Below are 25,039 nucleotides of genomic sequence, written 5' to 3'. Positions count from 1 at the left end.
GTTAATCTGTCTGGAAGTGATCTGTCCCTTCTCTGAACTCCAATTGCACTTATTGTCTACACTTATCAATTATCACTTTGCATTACAAGTTATCTTCTCATAGCTATAAGAGGCCTCTCACAAGGGATTCTTAGTTTTTTGATGACACAAAAATGTGTTTCATATGTCCTTACATACTCTAAATGACCTAAAATTAATTAGTTAATTAACTCATGTAATCATCTACCTTGCCTGTGTCTAAAGTGCCTTACATAAGTGCATATTAATAAAATAATTGTTTCCTTAATATCTGCTTCCTTTCTGGCCCAGTGTTATTGTTTGGAGTCCAGGATTTATCGCCCTGTACTGATATGCATGGCTATTTTGACCTATGCCTGAATAAAGCTGTCTCAACATTGCTGGCATTTCATTAGAGAGGTTTATGGCAATATTATAATAATCACAGCCGCTGAAATTTTGTCGCTTATTCTACACATGCACAAAAAAAAGCAAATTAAAATTGTGGTTTATGCATCATCTCCATTCTGGGAAGTAAAGTAATGAGCACAAGATCATCTTGCCCAGGCTGAGGGATGACTTTTCTGGATATTAAAACAGATCCGCTTAACACATCTATGTTTTTCAATTCTGGGCATCCCAAATCCTGCACTGAATTGGGAAATGCATTCATTTTTATCCTCACTTGGTCCAGCAGATTCTGATCGATCTGGACTATAGATTATAAAAATTAGAGAGCACTGAAGCTGTCCTAAAAAGGAGCTTAGGAGGTGCTTATAAATGTAACAACAAGGAGGACAGTTTCTATCATAAAACTACAGTACAAGGATAAAAATGAATGCCTCATTTTTTTGAGTTGAGACTTTCTGAACAAGCAAAGATAAGAGATTTCCTTCCCATAAAAAGAAAATTCACATACTAGAATATTGATGTATCACTTTCATACCCAACTAAATCTGAATCCAATATGACAGCAAACTATGTGTTTTCCAGGTTGACAAAACAGAAACGTCCCTCCAGGGGAAAATGGGAAAGTAAGTGAAGTGTGATGACTCAGTGTCAGTACTTGAGAAAGAGGCCAGTTAGATATTATGTATTAACACAGTCACATTGTGGCTGGCAACACTGTGACTTTTATTTTTAAATTTAACATTTCACATTTTTAACCTCCAACACATAGGAACTGCCCTTATTAACACACTTACATAAAATCAAGAAAAATTTTATTGAGTTTTTTTTTTCTGACTTTATGAGACCTCAGGTATCTGGCCTTATTATGGAGAAACAATGGCCCAGACTATATAATAAATGCTAGGATTCCACAGAAAGTGTGAAAATCAAGTCTTTGATTAAAAAAAAAATGGAGTTCTAACCTGGTCATACAGATTACAGGATTTTTTGTTGTAATGTATCTTATTCTTCATGAAAATCGGTATTTGTAAAGGATTGAAGAATATTTGTATTGATAGTTAAAGCAGACTTCCAGCAAGAGTATAACATTTTCAAGTCAGCACCTTAGTTCAGAAAGGCCAATACAAAGTAGAATGAGAAAGGCAGGTATATTTCTTTTGAGTCATTTCTCCCAGCATCTTAATTATACTTGGCAGGAATTGCTCTGGTTTTCTCAGATTTTTATTTAATGTAGTGAACAAAATCCCTGTTTTTCTCTGGCTTTTAGGGCATCTTTTACTTTGGAATTATCAGCCTGGTTTGGATATCTGTACTCACTAAAGTCTGTGAGGTCTTGTGACTGAGGAGTTTGACCTCAGGAACTGCCTTACTCTACAGTGGGTGGGGCTGGATCGAATAGGAGATGGAAGTGGAGAAAGGGACTTGGCTTTTTCATCAGTTTGTTTTACAGTTTACATGGATTTCTGGTGTTTCAAGCATAGCGTGAGAAACAGCCAAGATACATAGGAGGTTGTTTTATACATCATAAAATTTCTTCCAAACAACCGAATGTGTACCCTTATTCTTAAACGTAGTCTCTACCCCTCTGAAAACACAATATATTAAAAAAAAAATTGGAAAGTTTGGGAGAGTAAACAAGGTAAAGGATCAGAGGAAAAATTTTATCCTTACATGTAAAATTTTACATGTGTATTTAAAAGGATAATTTAAAGAGAGAAAGGGAGGAAGATAGAGAAAATAAGGGCATTATGTTTTTAATTAAAGTTCTTATTTTGAATTAACTGTAGATTCACATGCAGTTGTAAAAAAAATTGAAACAGAGAGATCCATGTACCCTTTACCAAGTTTCCCCCAAGGCTAACATCCTGCAAAACAATAGAATGTGTGCATTGGATTTTGATGTTGTGGGGTAGAACATATTATAAATGGCATAAGGCAATTGTTTGCATAAATAAGACATGTCTGTGAGAAATCAATACCTTAACTCCACTGAGTTCAGGGCAATTTCATGGAAGAGACAGAGTTTTAGAGAGTAGCCAACTTTAAGAAAGTTGTGGTCAGTGAGCCAAGATGAAATGTGTTTTCAGGCCCAGACTACAATCAGAAAATTCTGGAAGTGAACAGAGATGGGAAGGGTAGCTGGGTGATTTAAAAAGAAAGAGAGAGAGAATTCCATGGTTGCCTATTAAGCAAAAATGAAAGACCATTCTTCCTGGAAACAGTAAATGTCTTTTAGTGAAGGTGACAGCTGGAGAAAACAATTTTGACAAGAGTCCTCTGTGACCATCGAAAATTCATTCCCAAAGATATTTGCTTACATCTGGTTTCTTCTATTTGTTATGTGGGCAAAATTTTAGCAAATAACTTTGAGAAGCTTCATTTATCTATCTATCCACCTATCTATCTAGGAAAACTGGCTATATTTTGATAATTACTAGATAAAATATTTTTGCCTTGGTCCTTTTATCTTGTATTTCAGTGAGCTACTGTAACAGTAATTCTGTCCTCTGCTCAATGAAAGTAGCAAAATTTCATTACATTTCATTGTCTGAATTCCTGTTATGGACAAGTTGGGGGTCTGAGGAGCTGGGCTGGGAGAGAAGGGTGGTGAGAGTATTCAGATAGAACTGAGGGTCATCTCAGAGAGTGCATCTAGGCAGTGACACTAAAATTTAGAGCCGAGTAAGCAGTGCATCAGGGCTGCTGCAGAGCCGCTATGCACTGTATAATTTCTGGGAGTGCTGTTCCACAGCAAGGCAGCCAGGGGCTGGATATAGAGGTAGAACCTAGCTTTGAGGTGTCATGACGGTCACCAGGGATGCCCAACCAGCTAAAAACATCGGAAGAGAGGGCAGGATATGGAACTCAGGAAGATTCCCATGACGTGCTGAAGCTGCAGTTCCTGTTGTATAGGACGGCAATGGGCTCACTCTGGTGAAGGAAGAGCCATGAAAAACACAGCAAAGGGATATACAAGTTTCACTGAATACTTTAGCAGTAAATATAGCTTAAAATGCATAGGAAGTCAATGGGACTTTGGCTATCTCTTTATTATATATAAATTTTCATTGTATTATGGTCTTTGAACAGTATTTTTATTATTATAGTACATCTATATTCCCCTCCTCCCTGTCTCCTTTCAGGGATACTTGGATCTATACTGTGTTCTCAGGGAGTTGGTGAGCCCTCCTCACACGCAGCCTTCTCTGACAGGGTTGGTATGATGGCTGACGCTACAGCAACTTGGTTTGGGGTGGGGGGCACAAGCAGGAAGCTGAATGCCTGAGCCCTGGAGTGCCTTCCCTCCCTTGCTCCTTTGAAAAAGCGGCCAGCTAAGAATTTTCCCTCCCTAACTCCCTCTCTTTTGTGTTTCCCTATCCCAGGGCTTTCCTCACCCACTTTGGACCCTGAGGGAGAGATTTTGTAGGATGTCACACAGAACCATTGCTCAATATACTCCCCACCATCCTGACATTGAAACAGCCCACTGCTAACCTAGGTATGACTGATAACACTGGTAATAGGCACCATTTTACATTCAAGGACTCTGAATTGAGAGAGAGCATGAACATCAAATTTATGGTCCCTTATTTTAATAAGTTTTTTTAAATTTTCAATTTCATATTTGTTATTTGTGGCTGAAAATAAAATGTGTAAATATATAGTTGTCATCAGGGGAAAATATTCCATAATGGCATACAGTCAACCCTCTGAATCCTTGAGTTCCATGTCTATGGAATCAGTCCTCTGTGGATCAAGAATATTTTTTAAAATGCATCTGTATTGAACAGACTCTCTTTCTTATCATTATTCCCTAAACAATATAGTATAACAACAATTTAGATGGCATTTACATTGTATTAGGTACCATAAATAATCTAGAGATGATTTAAAGTATACAGTAGGATGTGTGTAGGTTATGTGTAAATGTAACCATTGCATTTTACGTCAGACACTTAAGCTTCCATGTATTTTGGTATTCTTGGTGGATCCTGGAGCCAGTGCCCCGTAGATACTGAGGGACAACTGTGTATGGTATAATTCCTATTCCAGAAAATATTTCAGTATGTTTGTATAAACAATAAGCCAAAATAATTATTGTGCTTATTTCTAAGTGGCAAGACTACAGGTGATTATTTTCCTCTATATATTTTTTCTAGTGAAAATTATTTATATAATGTTGCCATATAGTATATCAAAATTTTAACAGAAAATTCCAACTGAATTCCTGTCAATACAAAATTATATATATTTTAAACCATTTTTTAGAAAACACAAATTTTTGAGCATAAGGCACATGATTAAACCAAATATGAGTAAATTCAAAATAAATACACATAACTTTCTTGTTATAGAAATAAAATCTACCAAGTGTGCATTCAAACACATACACTTGAAATATCATTGGATGGGTAAAAAGATGCTGGTAATGGAGTTTGCCTCTAGGGGAGGAAACCGAGTAGCTGAGGAATTCTATAGCCCCCTTGAGATCTTTGGTAGATTTGCACTATGTGAATTTTAGCAACTGAAAATAATTAAAAAACAAAGAAAAATAAAAATAAGTACAGTACTCAAATTCCTCCAGCTATTCCTTTCAATCACTTTTTGCCCTTTCCATTGTTAGATTAGTCTACTCTAGTTTGATTTACTTTGACTTATAGCCAAAAACATAGAGTATCTCTCACTGCCCTGTTTGGATAATAAATAACTAGAACCTGTTTTCCCACTAAATGTTTCAACACTAACTGATGTGGATAACGTTTGCCTTCTTTGCAAAACCTCTCACAGTGCTGCTATTAAAGAAGATGTGTAACTGCTGAGTTTGATGTATTATCAGTTCGGTAAAGGTCTGACATAGAAAAGCCTTGAAGTTAAGATTAAAGTTTACAGCACGATTGTCACAGAACAGTTGTCAGTCAAGGGCTAGATCTAATCACTCATTTGTACACTGATTCACTCATACAAGGTGACTCAGTTAAGCCAGGAACTTCTGGTACTTTCCTCAGTTTTCAACTTCCTTCATCCAATTTTCACTTAAATAAAATGACTTGTTTTGTTTTGTTTTTACTGGGAGTGGTCTGAGTTTGATTTTGTATAGAGAAAAGATGATGAATCCGATGATACCCAAATTCTCTCCTAGCTTAACCTGTAGTTGTAAAATATTTATGTTGCCCCAGGTTTAGCTAAGCTTGGTTTACAGATTATTGCTATAGTTATCTGAAAACTGTATGTGTTAATCTACACATTTTGACAGTGATGACAGGTGGTTTGTGCTCAAAGACACTGGTAGTTAAATGTCCAGAAGGGAAGTGAGAACAGGAAAGAACTAACGAACATTGAAAAGGTAGTGAACTGAATGAACTGGTGGTGTCAACTAACTACCTCAGCACTCATATAAACGCTGATAAGAGTCATATGAGTACCCGAACATTTATTTACTTAATCAAAGGTTAAAAGTTTTGAGAAGTGGGAAAAAGGCAGATCTGACATGAGAATTCTGAGAACCTTAAGAGAATTGCTATTACCTTAGTGGAGAGAACTAATAGAATGAAATTAAAGTCCACAATGAGGAAGGCAGAGAGCAGACAGCATTGAAAGATAGCTAAATAACAAGGTCAAAGTGTGAAAAATCAACAACCTATAAACAATTCAAATAAAACAACCTAGAAAATGTGAGTTAGAATTTTGAGAATTGTAATTCACAGTATTGAGAGCAAAAGCCAAATGTGCCAAATAAACGACCATAAATGTTACCATAATGGAAAAGTTTTACCTGGCATGGTCTAAGACACCAATTCTGAGAACTGCTTATAAGAGTTTCATAGGAAGCCAAAAACAAGTAAAGAAAAATAACAAAAAGTAAAAGCACAAAAAAGAATTGGAGAAAATATATAAGAATACAGCTATCAATGACATTCATTTTAGCGGGGCTAGTTTGACTCACCAATGTAGCAGATTATTTAAATTGGCAACATTTTCATATAAGGTAAACTTAGTCCATTTGATACAAATGTGGACTAAGAATTCAAAGAAAGACTTTTCTTGTATATTTGATGTTTTTGTCTGTCTGTTTATTTGTTTCTTCTGGAGACAGGGTCTTGCTCTGTCTCTCAGGCTGCAGTACAGTGGCGTGATCATGGCTCACTGCAGCCTCAACCTCCTGGGCTCAAGTGATCCTCCCACCTCAGCCTCCTGAGTAGCCTGGACTACAGAAGCAAGCCACTACACTTGGCTGTTTTTTTTTAAATAGGGATGAGGTCTCCCTATGCTGCCCAGGCTGGTCTCGAACTCCTGGCCTCAAGCAATCCTCCTGGTTGTGCTGATCTTTCCAAAGTGCTGGGATTACAGGTGTGAGCCACTGCAACTGGGCGTGTTTTTTACTGTTTTTTATATTGATCATTAGCCAATCGCAGGGACAGATTTTTGATAAATTGTGCTTATTTTGAAACATGTTTTAGTCACAAATGTTCTTATACCTAGTAAATATTTTATATTTAATTTTAAAATAGACAATGAATATAGATGATTCCTTTAGGATCGAGGAAAACAATTTTTTTGGTTTGTTTGTGTTTGATTTTGGTTTTTAAGATAGTAGATAATAGTGCTATGAATGATTCCATAAGGAGGGTAAACTAATTATTCAGGAGAGAGAAAGGACACAGACTGGAGTAAAACCTTTCAGTCTGAGGGGATAGAATCCACTGCACTAGCAGAGAGAGGTCATCCTTCATTAGAAGCGGGAACCATTGCTTCCGGTAATAGGAGGAAGCCAACTTATATAGGTAGAGATGCAGTAAGTTGGTAGATTTGGTGTTGGGAGTGTGCACATCTTATTGTTTCTAGTTTCTTTATGAAATGATGGAAAAGGGCATAAGCTGAGAGAAGAAAAAGGGGTGTTTGACATGTGAGGAAAAGAATGTGAGAGAATCTCCTCAGAAACATTACTGGGGGCCCCAGTAGAAAGTGGTCATGAATTTTATAAGAGATTAATTCTGCTGCACAGGTAAAGGTGTGAAGTAGACGAAAAATTGAACTTCACTCGAGTAAGTTGTTGCAGGGAAGTAAATGGAAAGAAAGAGAGAAAAAGGAATTGAGGTCGTGTGCAAGGAGCGATTATAATGAAGGACCCATAGAAATTAAAGCATCTTTGGGCCCGATGAAGAGAGAAATGGTAGTAATGTCCATAGTTTGGAGGTCTCGGTGCCATCAGAAGGTTGTCAGAAATCGTACCAGTGGGAGTAGGCTTGGGCATCAGAGAATAGTAAGCTTGAAATTCTGATTTTGAGGGGATGAAGTTGTTGGTAATGGCAAGTTCTAGGTTATGACCCTGGCGTGAGTGGCTGAATGGGATTGAGGAAAGATTGTTGGATATGAAAAAGTGAAAGAACTGAGAGGCCCGAATGTTGCATGGGTTATTTGCATGAATATTGAAATTACCTAAAAAAGATGTCAGAATTAAGGAGGAGAGCGAGAGAGTGAGAATACATAGACACAGTGGGCTAGGTTCCAAATTTTTCAAAGAATAAGAGTTGACAGGGAGGACTGTACCATAAGGAAAGGTAGTGACAGAGTCTGATGCTATGTGCATTTAAAATCAACATTTGAATAAGTATGTAAATGAACATGTTAGTAACCATTGATATCTGCCAGAATAGCAGTTATATCAAATACATCTGGTTTATATGTTAATAAAATAAAGAAAACACAGCAGAAAACATTTATATACGTAGCAATGACACTAAAGAGCAAATTTTTATCACGACCATCAATATTACTTCTACTCTTACATCATGAATAAGAAATTTCCAGGTTTTCAGAAAGTGTCTGGTAATTCTGGCGTGGGAACTGTGGGGGATTAAATGAGAATGCTAATGAAGTGCCTGGAGCAAGATCTGACATATAGTAAGCATTAAATAAAAGTCATGAGGCAAACTGAAGATGACTTCCTGTGTAAGAAAAGGCTTCCATGCCTTCTTTGCTACTCCTCTTTATACATTGTCTTAGACCAAAAAACAATTTTTGTGTCAGAAGTGCCTTGACCTATACTGGTTTTCCCTAATATGTAGGCCAGATGGTTTTTTAAAAAATATTTCTGAGGCCGGGCATGGTGGCTCACGCCTGTAATCCCAGCACTTTGGGAGGCCAAGTCGGGTGGATCACAAGGTCAGGAGATGGAGACCACCCTGGCTAACACTGTGAAACCCCGTCTCTACTAAATATACAGAAAAATTAGCCGGGTGTGGTGGCAGTCACCTGTAGTCCCAGCTACTCGGGAGGCTGAGGCAGGAGAATGGCATGAACCCGGGAGGCGGAGCTTGCAGTGAGCAGAGACAGCGCCACTGCACTCCAGCCTGGGTGACAGAGCGAGACTCTGTCACAAAACAAAACAAAACAAAAAAATCTGAGAAGAGTACTGTGTTAAGAAATATAAAATCTGCTCCTGAATGTTGTAAATAGTTGGGGGCATGACAGGCTAGCAATGCTTTTATAATCATGGGTAATATTAAAATATGTCTCAGAATCAATAAAGTTGGATATATTTGACTAAACATGGCAAAAACAAAATAAACATACATCTTAAACAAGGTTAGAAACCAAAAGACTTACCAGAAAAATTATTTGCAACATGTGGGATGGAAAAAGAATAACTCTAATACACAGAAAGTTCTTATAAAATAATAAGAAAAATATTAAACCATCATTTTTTAAAACAGCAAAAAACATGGATATGAATAACAGAAAAGGCCAATGAATATATGAGAAGATATTTATCAGAAGGAATCAAAAGAACATTTATGAAATCAACAAGTCTCAGCATTAAAGAGGATGCAGAGAAAATGCTCTCTGAATCATTATTAATAGGAATGAATATTAAAATCATATTGACTTTCTGTTTGGCAGTTGTCCATTTTATTCAAAATCTTAAATATGCATACCCTTTGACCTAACAATTAATTTCTAGGAATTTATTCTAAGGATATAAGGAAACAAACATCCAAAACATCTCAACCACTGTAATAGTAGACAGATATTGAAAAATATTAGTACTCATAAAAAGATACATGTAACAGATTTATGGATGAAACAAGTATGTTACAAGATATTATTTGTAGTTTTGATCACATTTATGTAAAAATATATGTGCTTGTATATGTATATGTAAGTGTTCAAATAGATGTCTGAGGGGATATGTCTGATTGTGTTAATGGTAATTTTCTTTGACCGTGGAATTTCTGATCATTTTCACTTTCTAGCTTCTGTTTTTCTATATTGTTTGATTTGTGTATTTACAACCCTAATGATGAGTTATCACTCCTTGGAGTCTTTGCCCTTGTATTCCACTTTGCCTGGACCATTCTGTTACCTCCTTCAGTTCTCTGCTCAATGTCCTCCACTGGAAAAGTCTTCATTTGCCACTCTATTTGAAATAGAATGACCACTCGTTTGTCCCCATCTCTCTCTCTCTCTCTTTCTTTCTTTCTTTTTTTTCTTTCTTTCCTTCCTTCCTTCCTTCCTTCCTTCCTTCCTTCCTTCCTTCCTTCCTTCCTTCTTTCTTTCTTTTTCTTTCTTTCTCTCTTTTTTTTTTTGAGACAGAGTCTCACTCTGTTGCCCAGGCTGCAGTGCAATGGCGCGATTTGGCTCATTGCAACCTCTGTCTCCCGGGTTCAAGCAATTCTCTTGCCTCAGCTTCCCAAGTAGCTGGGATTACAGGCGTGTGCCACCATGCCCAGCTAATTTTTTGTATTTTGTAATTTTGTAGAGATGAGGTTTCACCATGTTGGCCAGGCTGGTCTTGAAATCCGAACCTCAGGTGATCCTCCCACCTCAGCCTCCCAAAGTGCTGGGTTACAGGCATGAGCCACAGCACCCGGCCTTGTCCCCTTATTTCATTCCTTTTCCCTGCTTTAGTTTCCTCAGCCATACTTCACACCATATAACATATCTTAATTTTGTTTGCTTATTTATTTATTGTGTATTGTCTGACTCCTCCTTTTCTGCACTAGAAAGTGAACTCCACAAGGGCAGGACTTTGTTTTGTACTAAACTGTAACCCCAGAGCTGAGAACAGTGCTGTTTTGGGGAGAAAGGCACATCATCCCATTGATACACCTGAGTGCTTCAATTTCATGGTGCTAGTGATCCTATTTATGATATGGGAGAGAAAAAAAAATCTCAAATATATATTTACCTTTTTATTTCTCAGGGGCTGAACCACTTCCCTAACACACAGCTCTAGATCATTGAGATAATCCTTTTCTGTCTGTATCAGCTCCTTAATGATCTTTTCCCGCTTTGCCATCATCCTCTTCATATGATGCTCTTCCTCTGGGGTTAAGGTCTCAGCTACAGAACACTCACCCTGTGGAGTCATCTTTTCTGTTAAATGAAAACATATACAGGTGAGGCATTCTGCTGAGGTTTCTTTTTCCTTCATTACAAACAACGCCTTCGAAGGACTTTGTTAACAAGGAAAAAGGCTGAAGGTATCCTCATGATGTTTTCTTAGGAAGTGATATATGGACATTCCCCTACAAAACTATAAGCAAGAAGAAAAGTGGGAGCGAACTTCCTCTAACAAGTGAGTTAAATGATACTCAATTATCGTGGCTTCTTTAAAATATCCCATTGTTGTAGCTTAGCCTATAAAGCCGGTATTCAGCCTGGAGATCAAATGTATAAAAAAAACAGTTCACAACTTCCGTTCACATTTGCTTTTAAATCAAGGGAAGAATTTTAATTAGTAAATGAAATGCCTTTAATTAGTAAATGAAAATGAATTTTGTCACTGCTATTAAAAACAATTACCTCTCATTCTCAGTGGGTAATATCCAAATCTCAATGAAATGGAAAACAATTGCATGATTGGAGTTTTTCTTTTCAATTCACTATCAGAATCCATGAGGAGTGAAGAAGTGGTGGATTAAATAAATTTCAACTGAAATTTTTCATGGTTCATCTTTTATACCAAGCATATCTTGTTATTTCAAAATTCTTGAACTGTCGAACAGAAAGTTTTAATTTAAAAAGTCACAGTACTGGGGAGATAATGAGATAAATGGGAAGCCTCACACATAGCAAAAGTTTATATGAAGTATTCAAGTAAGAAAGCTAAGTATCTTCAAGGACGAGCTCCCCAGAGCAATGTAAAATTTTGGAAGCCACAAACCAGACCACAGACCATGAAATCAAAGTGGCGATAAACATCAGGGCAGTGTGTGAGTCTGTGTATGTAAGAGTGTGTGTAAATGGATTTGCTTCAAGCTTGAAGCTTAATTTTCATCTTAGTCTCTGCAGTTGCAGAAGTAATTATATTTCATTTAAAGTTAACATGATTCTAGTAACTGGTATATGAGACATCTTCAATGTTGACACATTCCCTGAGAATGTGGGACTTTACAAAAGGGCCTATAAAGAGTCTGTACAGTAAAAAATAAATGTACAGGTCACAATGTATGAAAGTGAAAATAAACAGTGTTTTCTTGGCTGACTCCGGGAACAAAGCTAAGACAACTGGAGAAACAATATAGCAGAAGAGTTAATGGTGTGATGTCAAGAGACTGCCCCAGGAATGTGAACAGACACTTTAAAAAGTAATGAGCTCTCTCTCTGGTCCACTAACTTCAGCATTTAAGGCAGAGACTCAATATTCAAACATCTGTGGAGAGTAATTCCAGCATCAGTTTGGAAGCTATACTAGGTTGATCTTTGGACAATCCAGACCCACAGGTGAGTATGTTTGGAACCATTTATCGCCTACCAATCCCTCCTTCATCAGGAAAGCAGGAAGTTTTGACAAATAGCATCCAAAACCACATGGTTTTATGAGATTTGGGCTATTTAGTGCTAAGGAAATAATCCACATGAGGCCGGGAGCAGTGGCTCACACCTGTAATCCTAGCACTTTGGGAGGCCGAGGCAGGCAGATCACAAGGTCAGGAGATCGAGATCATCCTGGCTAACACGGTGAAACCCCATCTCTACTAAAAATACAACAAAAGAGCCGGGCGTGGTGGCGGACTCCTGTAGTCCCAGCTACTTTGAAGGCTGAGGCAGGAGAATGTCATGAACCCGGGAGGTGGAGCTTGCAGTGAGCCGAGATCGTGCCACTGCACTCCAGCCTGGGCGAGAGAATGAGACTCTGTCTCAAAATAATAATCATAATCATAAATCATAATCCACATGAGCTATATAAGAACAGATAATCTATTCAAGGAGAGAGAATGAATGCATGAGATATCCTGTAGCCCTCCAATCCTGATCTATATTATGAGAATTTGGGGGTGCTTGCTAATTTGTTTTTTTGTTTTTTGTTTTCAGAAACAGGTTCTCACTTTGTCAACCAGGCTGGAATGCAGTGGTGCAATTGCAGCTCACTGCAGCCTCAAACTCCTGGGCTCAAGCAATCCTCCCACCTGAGCTTCCCGAAGCACTGGGATTACAAGTGTGAGCCACTGCACCAGCCTAATTTGTAATATTTGCATTGGAAAGTAGAAGCAGCCTGCCTCTCAGTGCCCCAGATTTGAAAAAGCAAGTTACAATCACGTGTCATTACAATGAATTATTTTGGATATGAAAGAGGAAGACAGGACACCTTATGAGAGGAGCTGCAGTGAGGAGGCTGCATTGTGGCCCTTTCTTTTTAAAAATGTGTATATTCAAGATGTACAACATAATATTTTGATGTATTATACATAGTGAAATGATTGGGTGGGGGTGGGGGAGACTGAGGGCAGAGAGGTGTGAGGGACGTCCTTTACTCCTGGAGTATGTGAAATAGAGCACAGGAGGAAATCTCATGCGTAAGAGAGCTGACAAACCAGTATGGACACTGCCCAATTATCACTTAATGTTTCCTTGAAAATAAAAATGATGCTGATGAAAAACTGCTCTGACATTGCTTTTCCAGGTTCTAAACCTTCTATGCCTTATAAAATTAATCTATGAATTATTTGGGATCCTAGCAAGGAGAAGGAAGTTTTTCCTGATCGTCGACAAAGGAATATCCCTAAAACATGCATTTGGGTTCCTTTTAGTTCTAAATTCCAGGACTCAATCACAATGTTAACTTAACCTGCTTCACAGACGTTTCAGTTGCTGCACTTTAAAATGTACTACATCAGATTTTGTCAATTAAAAAATGCTTAGGTTTTCCAATACTGCTCAACAACTTGTTGAGAACAAATTTGTGGGGGCAAGGTGGGTGAAATAAAGTGTCAGTGAAAATACTCAACTTCTCCCTCAGGTGTAAAAATCTCTCAGAGAATTTACAGTTGAGCAACCTTATGAGATATCTTTGTTTGCTCTTTTGACTCAAGTTTATTGTAGGAACAAAAACTTCACTTGCATCATTTTATGGTCAGGTTTCTAAACACTTTCTATGTTTGCATTTCTTAAACCAACAAACTCTGCAATGCATTGTGGACACATTTTGTTTTTGTAAGATCTTTCTCTGCATTTAAACATTTTATCTTTTAGTTATACTTAGCTTTTATATATAAAAGTATTTGGAACTCAACAATATTGCCAACACATATCGCCCAAATCAGCAGTCAGCTATAGCCCGTCTTTTATTTCTGGATGAAGCAACCGAGGGGGCCTGGCGCAGTGGCTCATGCCTGTAATCCCAACACTTTGGGAGGCCGAGGTGGGTGGATCACCTGAGGTTAGGAGTTTCATACCGGCCTGACCAACATGGAGAAACGCCATCTCTACTAAAAATACAACATTAGCCGGGTGTGGTGGCACATGCCTGTAATCCCAGCTACTTGGGAGGCTAAGGCAGGAGAATCACTTGAACCCACCAGGCGGAGATTGCAGTGAGCCGAGATAGTGCCATTGCACTTCAGCCTGGGTGACAGAAGGAGACTCCATCTCAAAAAAAAAAAAAAAAAAAAAAAGCAACGGAGGGGCTATTTAGGAAAGAAGGAAAAATTGTTTTAAGAATAAATGTTTCCCAATAGTTTGCATATAATAAAATACAATGTCAAAGCCAAAGTGAAACTAAGGTTAAAAGGATATTCAGATTGCTATAACAGAAATATGCAGCTGTATATTAAAGCAGTACCATGTAATTGACTTCACTCTGTATTTCTTTCACACTCAAGCTTTATTTTTCCAGTGGTGATGTGAATTTTTACTATTCTAGCCACAAAATTCATTAATAATATATGTGGAGATTCCTGGCCAAGGAAGTTTATATAAAAAGAGGTTGTTGCAGTTTGGGAAAAGGATAATCTGACTTGAGATCAGCTCTGCCACTCAGCTGTGAGAACACAGTAGACTAATAACTAATAGTTATCCTCACAGAGCCTTGGTTTCCTTACCTGTAAACTATGCATGAAAACCATCACAGTGTGATCATGAAGACTGAATTAAATGAGCAGCTCCATGTGGAAGCTCCTTGAGATCTTTAAAACAATACAAATGTTAACTATTTCTGTGGGAATGGGAAAAATAGGGTTACTTTCTCTACAGTCTCAAACTCTTCCACCATCTAGAGCAAACAATTATCCCATTATTTTGTGGTTACCAACTTGTCAAGAAAAATGCATGACTCTAAAGTGGGTGGACAGCTAGTTCAGTTGGAAGAGGAAGAGGAAAAAAAATAGGGATGCTGCTTTCGGAGGAAAGTCAGAACAAAGCTGGGGTTTAGAATCCTGAGCAGTTTATCTGGCTTGGGTATATGCGTGGGGAGAACCTCGATCTCTTAGAGAAGTGCAACAGCACCCAAAGGCAAAGGGGTGTTGGGGGAGGACTGAAGACAATCTTCACTGATAGCCACGTTTTGCTTAGAATTTATCCTATCCTGTTTTTCCTTTCTTCTTGCTTTTGCTACTACTACTGCCATTTTGGGGTGGATTTAAGGAGAGGTAATTTCTTTCTTTCTTTCTTTGTAAATTATAAAATAATATGTAATTGTAATATCTATCTAAGTTATATATAGATAGACATAGAAATAGCTATAGCTATAGATAGATAGACATAGATACAGATAGAGAGAGAGATGTAGATATAGTAGAGGTTTAAGTGCATAGCCTTGGGAGCCAGACTGCCTGGGTTCAAACTCCACCACTACCATTTATTAGATCTATTACCTCAGACAAGTTACTTAGCTCTTCCTGTATCAATTTTCTCATCTGTAAGTTAAGGATAACGTTAGTAAAGCCTTATAAAGTGATTTCGAAGATTAAATTAGTTAATGTCTGTAAAACACTTGTAACAGTGCCTGGCATTATACTGGATATCTTGAAAATGTTTTATTATTATTAGATGCAATCCCTATTTATTAATTGTAATATTATTTTTACTGTATTATTGGTTGTATTCTAGTGTAGTGTATAGGCTTCTCAAAATATCTCCATGCACATACAAATACACATATTTACAGAAGTTCAGTTTTTTGTTTTATTTTTTAACAGTAACAAGCTCATATACATATTCTTCTGCAACTTGCTTTTGCAACTATAACAGTATATAGTGGGGATCTTTTTTGTAACAACAGCATAATTGTGTCAGACACTGCTGTTGTCTGCACAGTATCTATTCTCCTATTTGTTTTTCATGAACTGAACCATAAATAGATAAAAATATTTATTTATTGGGCAATTTTTAAATCAAGAGTGGGAAAAGGGAACATACTCAGGAAACATATCCAGATAAAGGATCAGAAAAGGAAACACACTAAGTAAAAATAATGCTCCAAAGAAAGAGACATCAATAAAATGATTTGTCTCAGCCTTGGTGGTGATCAATAGAAAAAAAAATAGCATCCCTTAACAATTCAAGGACACTAACTGGCTCTCATATGGATTTGAGATCTGAAATTATTGAATGCTTAACAAATAAATAGTAAGGGCTTACTATGAGCCCAAAATCATCTTAGGCTCTGGGGATACAGCAATAAAAAAAAAATTCCTTTCCTTATGGAACTTTACTTCTAGTTGGGGAAGAAGAACATAAATAATTTAAACAAGTTATTTAGTATACTAAAAGGTGATAAGTGATATAGAGAAAAATAATGCTATGAAAGCTGCTAGGAAGAGCTTAAAACGTGTGCAATTTTAAATAAGATGGCAGGAAAGGCCTGAAATAGAGTTGAAAGGTGAGAGAGTCATGCAGATATCTGGGAGAGGTGGTTTTTAGCAGATGAACTGGTCAGTGGAAAACCTTAAGGTGAGCGTGTGCATGGCCTATTTAAGGAACAGGAAGCAGAGCAATGTGTGGCCAGGTAGGAGGACGCTGGGGAGAGGATAAGAGATTTGGTGGACAGGACAGCTTGGGAGAGATTGTGGAGACTTCTAAGTATTTTAAACATTTAAACATTTTTGTGATATTGCAGAAAAGCTAAAGACATTAATGAACTTTAGATGTTTTTAAATTAAGGATATATGTTAAAATTTCAAGGCCAACCATTAAAATAAAATAGCATGTAAAATTTCAAAACCAGTAGAGGAGAGAAAGCAGTTCAAATGAAGAAAGGAGAAAACCGAAAGAGAAAAACAAATATAAGGCAGTCGATTCAAATCTATGTGTAATCATAACTCAAGTGACCATATTATCAAACTGTATTCAAAAAACAACAACTATATGCCATTTATAGTAGAGAACATAAGCACACAAGAAGATGAAAGTACAAAAATATATACTGAGCAAATACTAATTAAAGGAAGGGTGAGATATAGCTATTTTACACAGATAAAATAGACTTTAAGGCAAAAATAAAAGTGGGCACTATATAGTGATAAAGTGTCCCATTCATTAGGAAGATATGAAAATTCTAATTCTGTATGTACTAAATAACATGATTTCAAAACATGTGAAGCAAAAAGTGAAAGAGTTGAAGGTAGAATTTGACAAATCAGTCTTAATAGTGATATTTTAAACATAACTGTCAGTAACTGATAGACTGTTAGGACAGAAAATATTTACTCCAATAATTAGAGATTACATAGTATTTTTAAGGACACTTGAAGAAATACATTATAAATTAAGTTATAACATTTCAAAGAATTAGTAAATTGAGAACCACAACTACCATGAAATTAATGTAGAAATAAATAACAAAAATAAAATGTTAGGACTCATTTGTTTTGGAATTAATAGAGAACCAAAACCTACAAAATAACTGATGGGTCACAGAAGAAATGACTAAAGTGAATAGAAGATATCTGTTATAAGGATAAGAAAAATATTACAAATTAAAACATGTGGAATGTAGGTAAAGCACTGCTTACAGAAAATTTATAGGCTTAAATTCATATACAAGAAAAGAAGCAAGAGTGAAAATGATTTGACTCTTAACTAAATAAGTAAAAAAAAAAAAATACAATAAGCCAAAAGAAAATAGAATAAAGGAAATTAAGAACAAAGCTTAATGAAATTGAATAGAAACTCAAGTCAGGCTTCAACTGTTCCTTGCAGCTACATTGCAAGGAATACGAGATTTTTTTTTTTTTTTTTGAGACGGAGTCTAGCTCTGTCGCCCAGGCTGGAGTGCAGTGGCATGATTTTGGCTCACTGTAACCTCCACCTCCTTGGTTCAAGTGATTCTCCTGCCTCAGCCTCCTGAGTAGCTGGGATTACAGGCGCCCGCCACCACACCCAGCCAATTTTTTGTATTTTTAGTAGAGACGGGGTTTCACTGGGTTGGCCAGGCTGGTCTCGAGCTCCTGACCTCGTGATCCACCCACCTCGGCCTCCCAAAGTGCTGGGATTACAAGCGTGAGCCACCACACCCGGCCATAGGAATACGAGATTTTAAGAAATCCTAAAACACACACGGAAACACGATACCATGAGTCAGATGCAGAAAATAAAATTGATAGCATAATTATATCCACAAAGTCTTAAGTTACTGAAATTATTAGAGATATAAAAAGGGTACTTAATAGGTTTAAAAAACAAGTAATGGTTTGAAATTATAAGCAAGAAACAAGAGAATATAAAAATGATCAAGTGGATTTTAAAAGATAATACAGAATCTTAAAATAAAAGCTCATAATAATTAAAATTTAATTATTTTGTTTAATCAATAAATGGCTAAGTTGAATAAATAGTTGAGTTGTATAATGAACTAAATAGTAAATTATACAAAGTTAAAGAGATTAATGAACAAGCCAAGAAAATTTTATAGAATGCAATAGACATGTAAAATATGTGAGAGAGGTTAGGAGATGTTGAGGATTGAATAAGAAGGTTCAACTAATGTTTACTAGGAGGTCTAGAGGGTATAATAGAGAATGTAAGGAAGAACATTATTTGAAGTGCTCAAAGCTGGGAGCTTTTCAGAATTTTTGAAAGATGCTATTCCTGAGTTCATTCCAAGATGGCCAACTACATGCAAGCAGGAGAAACATCTCCCACCAAGTGACCAAAACACTGGGAAGACTGGTGCACTCCTAGTAAATCTTCAAAGAAAAGGCATTGAGAGGGGACAGAAGGAAGCCACAGATGCTGGGCTCAAGGCAGAGAAAGCTGGGAATCCTGTATGGGGCTACGGGGCACCGGGACTTGTTCTTGGCCTCCAACTACTCCTGCAGGTGGGGTGAGTTAAACAGACAAGGAGTACTTCAAATAATGCTTCTTCCTTACAGTCTCTATTATGCCCTCTAGACCTCTACAGAACTCTCCACCAAAAAACAAACAGAATAGTCCCGGCTTGGTGGCTCATGCCTGTAATCCCAGCAGTTTGGGATGCCGAGGTTGGTGGATCATTTGAGGTCAGGAGTTTGAGACCAGCCTGGCCAACATGGTGAAACCCCGCCTCTACTAAAAATACAAAAACTAGCCGGGCTTAGTGGTGGAGAATTGCTTGAACCAGGAAGGTGGAGGTTGTAGTGAACTGAAATAGTGTCACTGCACTCCAGCCTAGGCAACAGAGCAAGACTCTGTCTCAAAAAAACAAACAAACAAAGACACAAACAAAAAAACCAGAATATACATTCTTCTCATTGCCACACGGCACATACTCTGAAATCAACCACAAAATCAGACATATAATTATGCTCAGTACATGTACAAAAATCCTTGAAATTTTGCCAACCACTCTCTCAGACCATAGTACAATAAAATTAGAATTAATGACCAAGAAAATTGCCCAGAACCACACAATTACATGGAAATGAAACAACTTGTTCATGAATGACTTTTGGGTAAATAATGAAATTAAGGGAGAAATCAAGAAGTTTGTTGAAACCTATGAAAACAAAGACGCAACATACCAGAATCTCTGGGACACAGCTAAGGCAGTGTTAAGAGGGAAATATATAGCACTAAATGCCCACATCGAAAAGTTAGAAAGATCTCAATTTTACAACTTAACATCACAAATAAAAGAGCTAAAGAAGGAAGAGCAAACCAACCTCCAAGCTAGCAGAAGACACAAACTAATCAAAATCAGAGCTGAATAGAAGATCGAGACATGAAAACCATTCAAAAGATCAATGAATCCAAGATCTAGTTTTTTTGAAAAAATTAATAAGATAGACTGCTAGCTAGACTAATAAAGAAGAAAAAAGATCCAAATGAACACAATTGGCAATGGCAAAAGAGGTAATACCACTGACCTCACAGAAATACAATCATCAGAGACTATTCTGAACACACAATGCACACAAACTAGAAAATCTAGATGAAATGGATAAATTCCTGGACATATACACCCTCCCAAAACTGAACCAGGAAGAAATTCAATTTCTGAACAGACCAATAATGAGCTCCAAAACTGAGTAAGTAGTAAATAGCCTACCAACCAAAAGAAGCTCAGTACCAGAGGGATTCACAGCCAAATTCAAACACATGTACGAATAAAAGCTGATATTATTCCTACCGAAGCTATTCCAAAAAATTGAGGAGGAGGCACTCCTCCCCAACTCCTGCTATGAGGCCAGAATCATCCTGATACCAAAGACTGGCAGAGACACAACAAATAAAGAAAACTTCAGGCCAATATCCTTGGTGAACATCAATGCAAAAATCCTCAGCAAAATACTGGCAAATCAAATCCAGCAGCACATCAAAAAGCTAATTCACCACAATCAAGTAGGCTTCATCCCTGGGATGCAAGGATGGTTCAACATATGCAAATCAGTAAATGTGATTCATCTCATAAGCAGAACTAAAGACAAAAACCACATGATCATCTGAACAGATGCAGAAAAGGCTTTTGATACGGTTCAATATCCCTTCATGTTAAAAACTGTCAATGAACTAGGTATTGAAGGAACATATCTTAAAATAATAAGAGCCATCTATGACAAACCCACAGCCAACAACATACTAAATGGGCAAAAGCTGAAAGCATTCCCCTTAAAAACTGGCACAAGACAAGAATGCCCGCTCTCACCACTCTAACTCATCATAGTATTGGAAATCCTGGCCAGAACAATCAGGCAACAGAAAGAAATAAATGGGATCCAAATAGTGAAAGTATTCCTGTTTGCAGATGACATAATTCCATATCTAGGAAACCCCATAGTCCTGGTACTCCTTCAGTTGATGAACAAATTCAGCAAAGTTTCAGGATACAAAATCAACATACCAAAAAAACCCCACTAGCATTCCTATACACCAAGAACAGCCAGGCTTGATATGCACCAAAATAGAACTTCTTGACAGCATAAAATCCACAGGGCTTATAAAACAGTAACATAATGAGAAAAACTGAAAGTATCTAGGTAACAATGACATGATAAATGAAACTATACCTCACATCTCAATGTTACATGTAAGTGGCTAAATGCTCCACTTAAAATATACAGATTGGCATAATGGATTAAAAAAATCACAAACCAAATATCAACTGTCTTCCAGAGACTTACCTAAAATGTAAAGATTCATATAAATTCATGGTAAAAAAGTGGAAAAAGATATTCTATGCAAATGGAAACCAAAGCGAACAGGAATGGTTATTCTTAGATCACACAGACCTTAAAGCAACAACAGTAAAAGACAAAAAGGTCATTTTATAATGATAAAAGGATAATTTCGACAGGAAGATATCATAATCCTAAATTCATATGTACCTTACACGGGAGCTCCCATCTTCATAAAACAATTACTACTAGACCTAAGACAGCAACACAATAATAGTGGGAAAATTCAATACTCCACTGACAGTACTACACAGATCATCAAGACAGAAAGTCAACAAAGAAACAACAGACTTAACTTATATTCTATAACAAATGGACCTAACAGATATTATAGAACATTCTACTCAAGAACTGCAGAATATACATTCTTCTCATCAGCACATGGAACATCCTCCAAGACAGACCATACAATAGGCCACAAAACAAGTCTCAATAAATTTTGAGAAGTCAAAATAATATCAACTATCTTTCAGACCACAGTGGAATAAAACTAGAAATTAACTCCACAAGGAACCCCCATAGCTATACAAACACATGGAAATTAAACGATCTGCTCCTGAATGATTTTGAGGTTACTGATGAAATCAAGATAGAAATTTAAGTATTCTTTGAAATTAATGATCATAATGACACAAGTTATCAAAGCCCTGGGATACAGCAAAAGGAACACTAAAAGGAAAGTTTATAGTGCTAAACGACCACATTAAAAAGTCTAAAAGATCACAAATTGACAATCTAATGTTACACCTTAAGGAACTAGAGAAAAAAGAACAAACTCAATCCAAAGCTAGCAGAAGAAGAGGAATAACAAAGATCAGAGCAGAACCAAAAGAAATTAAAACAAAAAAATACAAAAGATCAATGAAACAAAAAGCTGGTTCTTTGAAAAGATAAACAAAATTGATAGGCCATTAGCAAGATTAACCAAGAAAAGAGAGAAGATTCAAATATGCTCAATTAGAAATGAAACTTGAGACATTACAACTGACACCACAGAAATAAAAAATGATCATTTGAGAGTACTGTGAACATTTCTAGGCACACAAACTAGAAAACCTATAGGAAATGGATACATTCCTGGAAACATACAACCCTCTTAGATTAAGTCAGGAAGAAATAGGAACCCTGATTAGACCGATAAGCAGCGAGATGGGAGAAGTTAACTAGAAATTTGCCAACAACAACAACAACAACAACAAAAACCCAGGACCAGATGGATTCACAGCTGAATTCTATCAGACATTCAAAGAAAAATTGGCATCAATCCTACTGAAACCATTACAAAAGATAGAGGAAGAGGGAATCCTACCTAAATTATTCTATGAAGCCAGCATCACTCTGATACAAAAATCAGGAAAGGATATAATAAAAAAAGACTATCGCAAGAACAAAAAACCAAACACCGCGTATTCTCACTCATAGGTGGGAATTGAACAATGAGAACACATGGACACAGGAAGGGGAACATCACCCTCTGGGGACTGTTGTGGGGTGGGGGGAGGGGGGAGGGATAGCATTAGGAGATATACCTAATGCTAAATGATGAGTTAATGGGTGCAGCACACCAGCACGGCACATGTATACATATGTAACTAACCTGCACATTGTGCACATGTACCCTAAAACTTAAAGTATAATAATAATAAAAAAAATTAAAGAAAGAAAGTAAAAAAAAAGAAAGCTACAAACCAATATTTCTTTTGAACATAGATGCAAAATTCTCAATAAAATACTAGCTAGCTGAATCTAACAGCAAATCAAAAAGGTAATACACCATGGTCAAGTGTGTTTCATACCCAGGTTGCCGAGATGGTTAAACATATACGAGTCAATATGTGCGATACATCACATAAGCAGAATTAAAAACACAAATCATAGGATCTTCTCAATAGATGCAGAAAAAAGCACTCAATAAAATTCAGCATCCCTTTATGATAAAAACCTTCAACAAACCCCAACATCACACTGAGGAAGAAAAGTTGAAAGAATTCCTCCTGTGAACTGGAAAAAGACAAGGATGCCCACTTTTACCATTCCTATTCAACATAGTACTGGAAGTCCTAGCCAGAGCAAACAGGTAAGAGAAGAAAATAAGGGGATCCACTTTGGAAAAGAGAAAGTCAAACTTCACTGCTCACTGGTGACATGACTCTATACTTAGGAAACCCTAAATTTTCCTTCAAAAGACTCTTAGATTTGATAAACAAATTCAGTAAAGTCTCAGGTTACAAAATCAATGTACACAAATCAGCAGTGCTGCTTGCTATATACCAACAATGAGCAAGCTGAGAATCAAATAAAGAACTCAATCCCTTTTACAATGGCTGCAAAAAAAAAAAAAAAAGAAGAAAAGAAAATTGAATAACTAAGAATATACTTAACCAAGGAGGTGAAAATTCTCTACAAAGAGAACTACAAAACACTGCTGAAATAAAGCATAGATGACACAAACAAACAGAAACACATTCCATGCTAATGGATTGGAATAATCAATACTGTGAAAATGATCATACTGCCCAAAGCAATGTACAGATTCAATGCAATTCCCATCAAAATACCAAAATCATTTTTCACAGAATTAGCAAAAACAATCCTAAAATTCATATGGAACCAAAAAAGCCCCCAAATAACTAAAGCGATCCTAAACAAAAAGAACAAATCTGGAGACATCACATTACTGGACTTTAAGTTATACTACAAGGCTGTAGTTACCAAAACAACATGGTACTTTCAAAAGGAGGCAGATAGACTAAGGGAACAGAATAGAGAACCCAGAAATAAAGTCAAATGCTTATAAACAGTTGATCTTCAACAAAGCATACAAAAACATAAATTGGGAAAAGGAAACTCTATTTAATAAATGGTGCTGGGAAAACTAGATATCCACATGTAGAAGAATGAAACTGGATCCCTATCTCTCACCTTATACAAAAATAAACTCAAGATGGATCAAAGACTTAAGTCTAGGGCTGAAAGCATAAAAATTCTAGAAGATAACTTTGAAAAAACTCTTCTGGACGTTGGCCTAGGCAAAGTATTTATGACTAAAACCCTAAAAGCAAATGGAAAAAAAGCAAAAATAAATAAATGAGACCTGATTAAACTAAAAAGCTTCTGCACAGCCAAAGAAATAATCATCAGAATAAACAGACAATCAAGAGTGGAGAAAATACTTTTAAACTATGTCTCTGAAAAAGGACTAATATCCAGAATCTACAAGGAACTCAAACAAATTAAGGAAAAAACAAATAACCTCATCAAGAAGTGGGCAAAGGACATAAATAGACGTTTCTCAAAAGAAGATATACAAATGACCCACAAACATGAAAAAATGCTCAACATCAGTAATTGTTAGGGAAATGCAAATTAAAGCCACAATGGGATACCATCTTACTCCAGTAAGAATGGCCATTATCAAAAAGTCAAAAAATGATAGATGTTGATGTAGATGTAATGAAAGGAGAATGCTTCTACTCTGCTGGTGGGAATGTAAATGAGTACAACCTCTATGAAAAATAGTATGGAGATTCCTTAAAGAACTAGATCTACCATTCGATCCAGCCATCCCACTAATGGATATCTACCCAAAGGAAAGAAGTCATTATATGAAAAAGACACATGTACTTGTATGTTTATTGCAGCACAATTCACAATTGCAAAGATATGAAGCCAACCTAAGTGCCCACTGACCAGTGAGTGGATACAGAAAATATGGTGTGTGTGTGTGTGTGTGTGTGTATATATGTGTGTGTATGTGT

At 36.7% G+C, this 25,039-nt stretch overlaps 1 protein-coding gene across 9 annotated transcripts in view; it reads right to left on the bottom strand.

Annotated features, from left to right (window-relative positions):
* The window catches only part of ARHGEF38 (Rho guanine nucleotide exchange factor 38), a 129,947-nt gene that overhangs the window by 82,534 nt on the left and 22,374 nt on the right, over positions 1-25,039 (bottom strand). For 8 of the 9 annotated variants that reach the window (XR_938749.4, XR_007057934.1, XR_938750.4 and 5 more), the window contains exon 2: positions 10,598-10,785. The exons of the other annotated variant lie outside the window; for it this stretch is intronic. Coding sequence is in view for 3 of the 8 variants with exons in the window: in NM_001242729.2 (NP_001229658.1) it covers positions 10,598-10,785 (188 nt within the window). In the remaining 5 variants the exon portion in view is untranslated. The remainder of the gene's footprint in view (positions 1-10,597; positions 10,786-25,039) is intronic. 9 annotated transcript variants of the gene reach the window in all.

Source organism: Homo sapiens, chromosome 4, assembly GCF_000001405.40.
Source record: "Homo sapiens chromosome 4, GRCh38.p14 Primary Assembly".
NCBI lineage: Eukaryota > Metazoa > Chordata > Mammalia > Primates > Hominidae > Homo > Homo sapiens.
The sequence above is the reverse complement of the archived record's forward strand: the minus strand, read 5'-3'. Positions and strand labels throughout refer to the sequence as shown.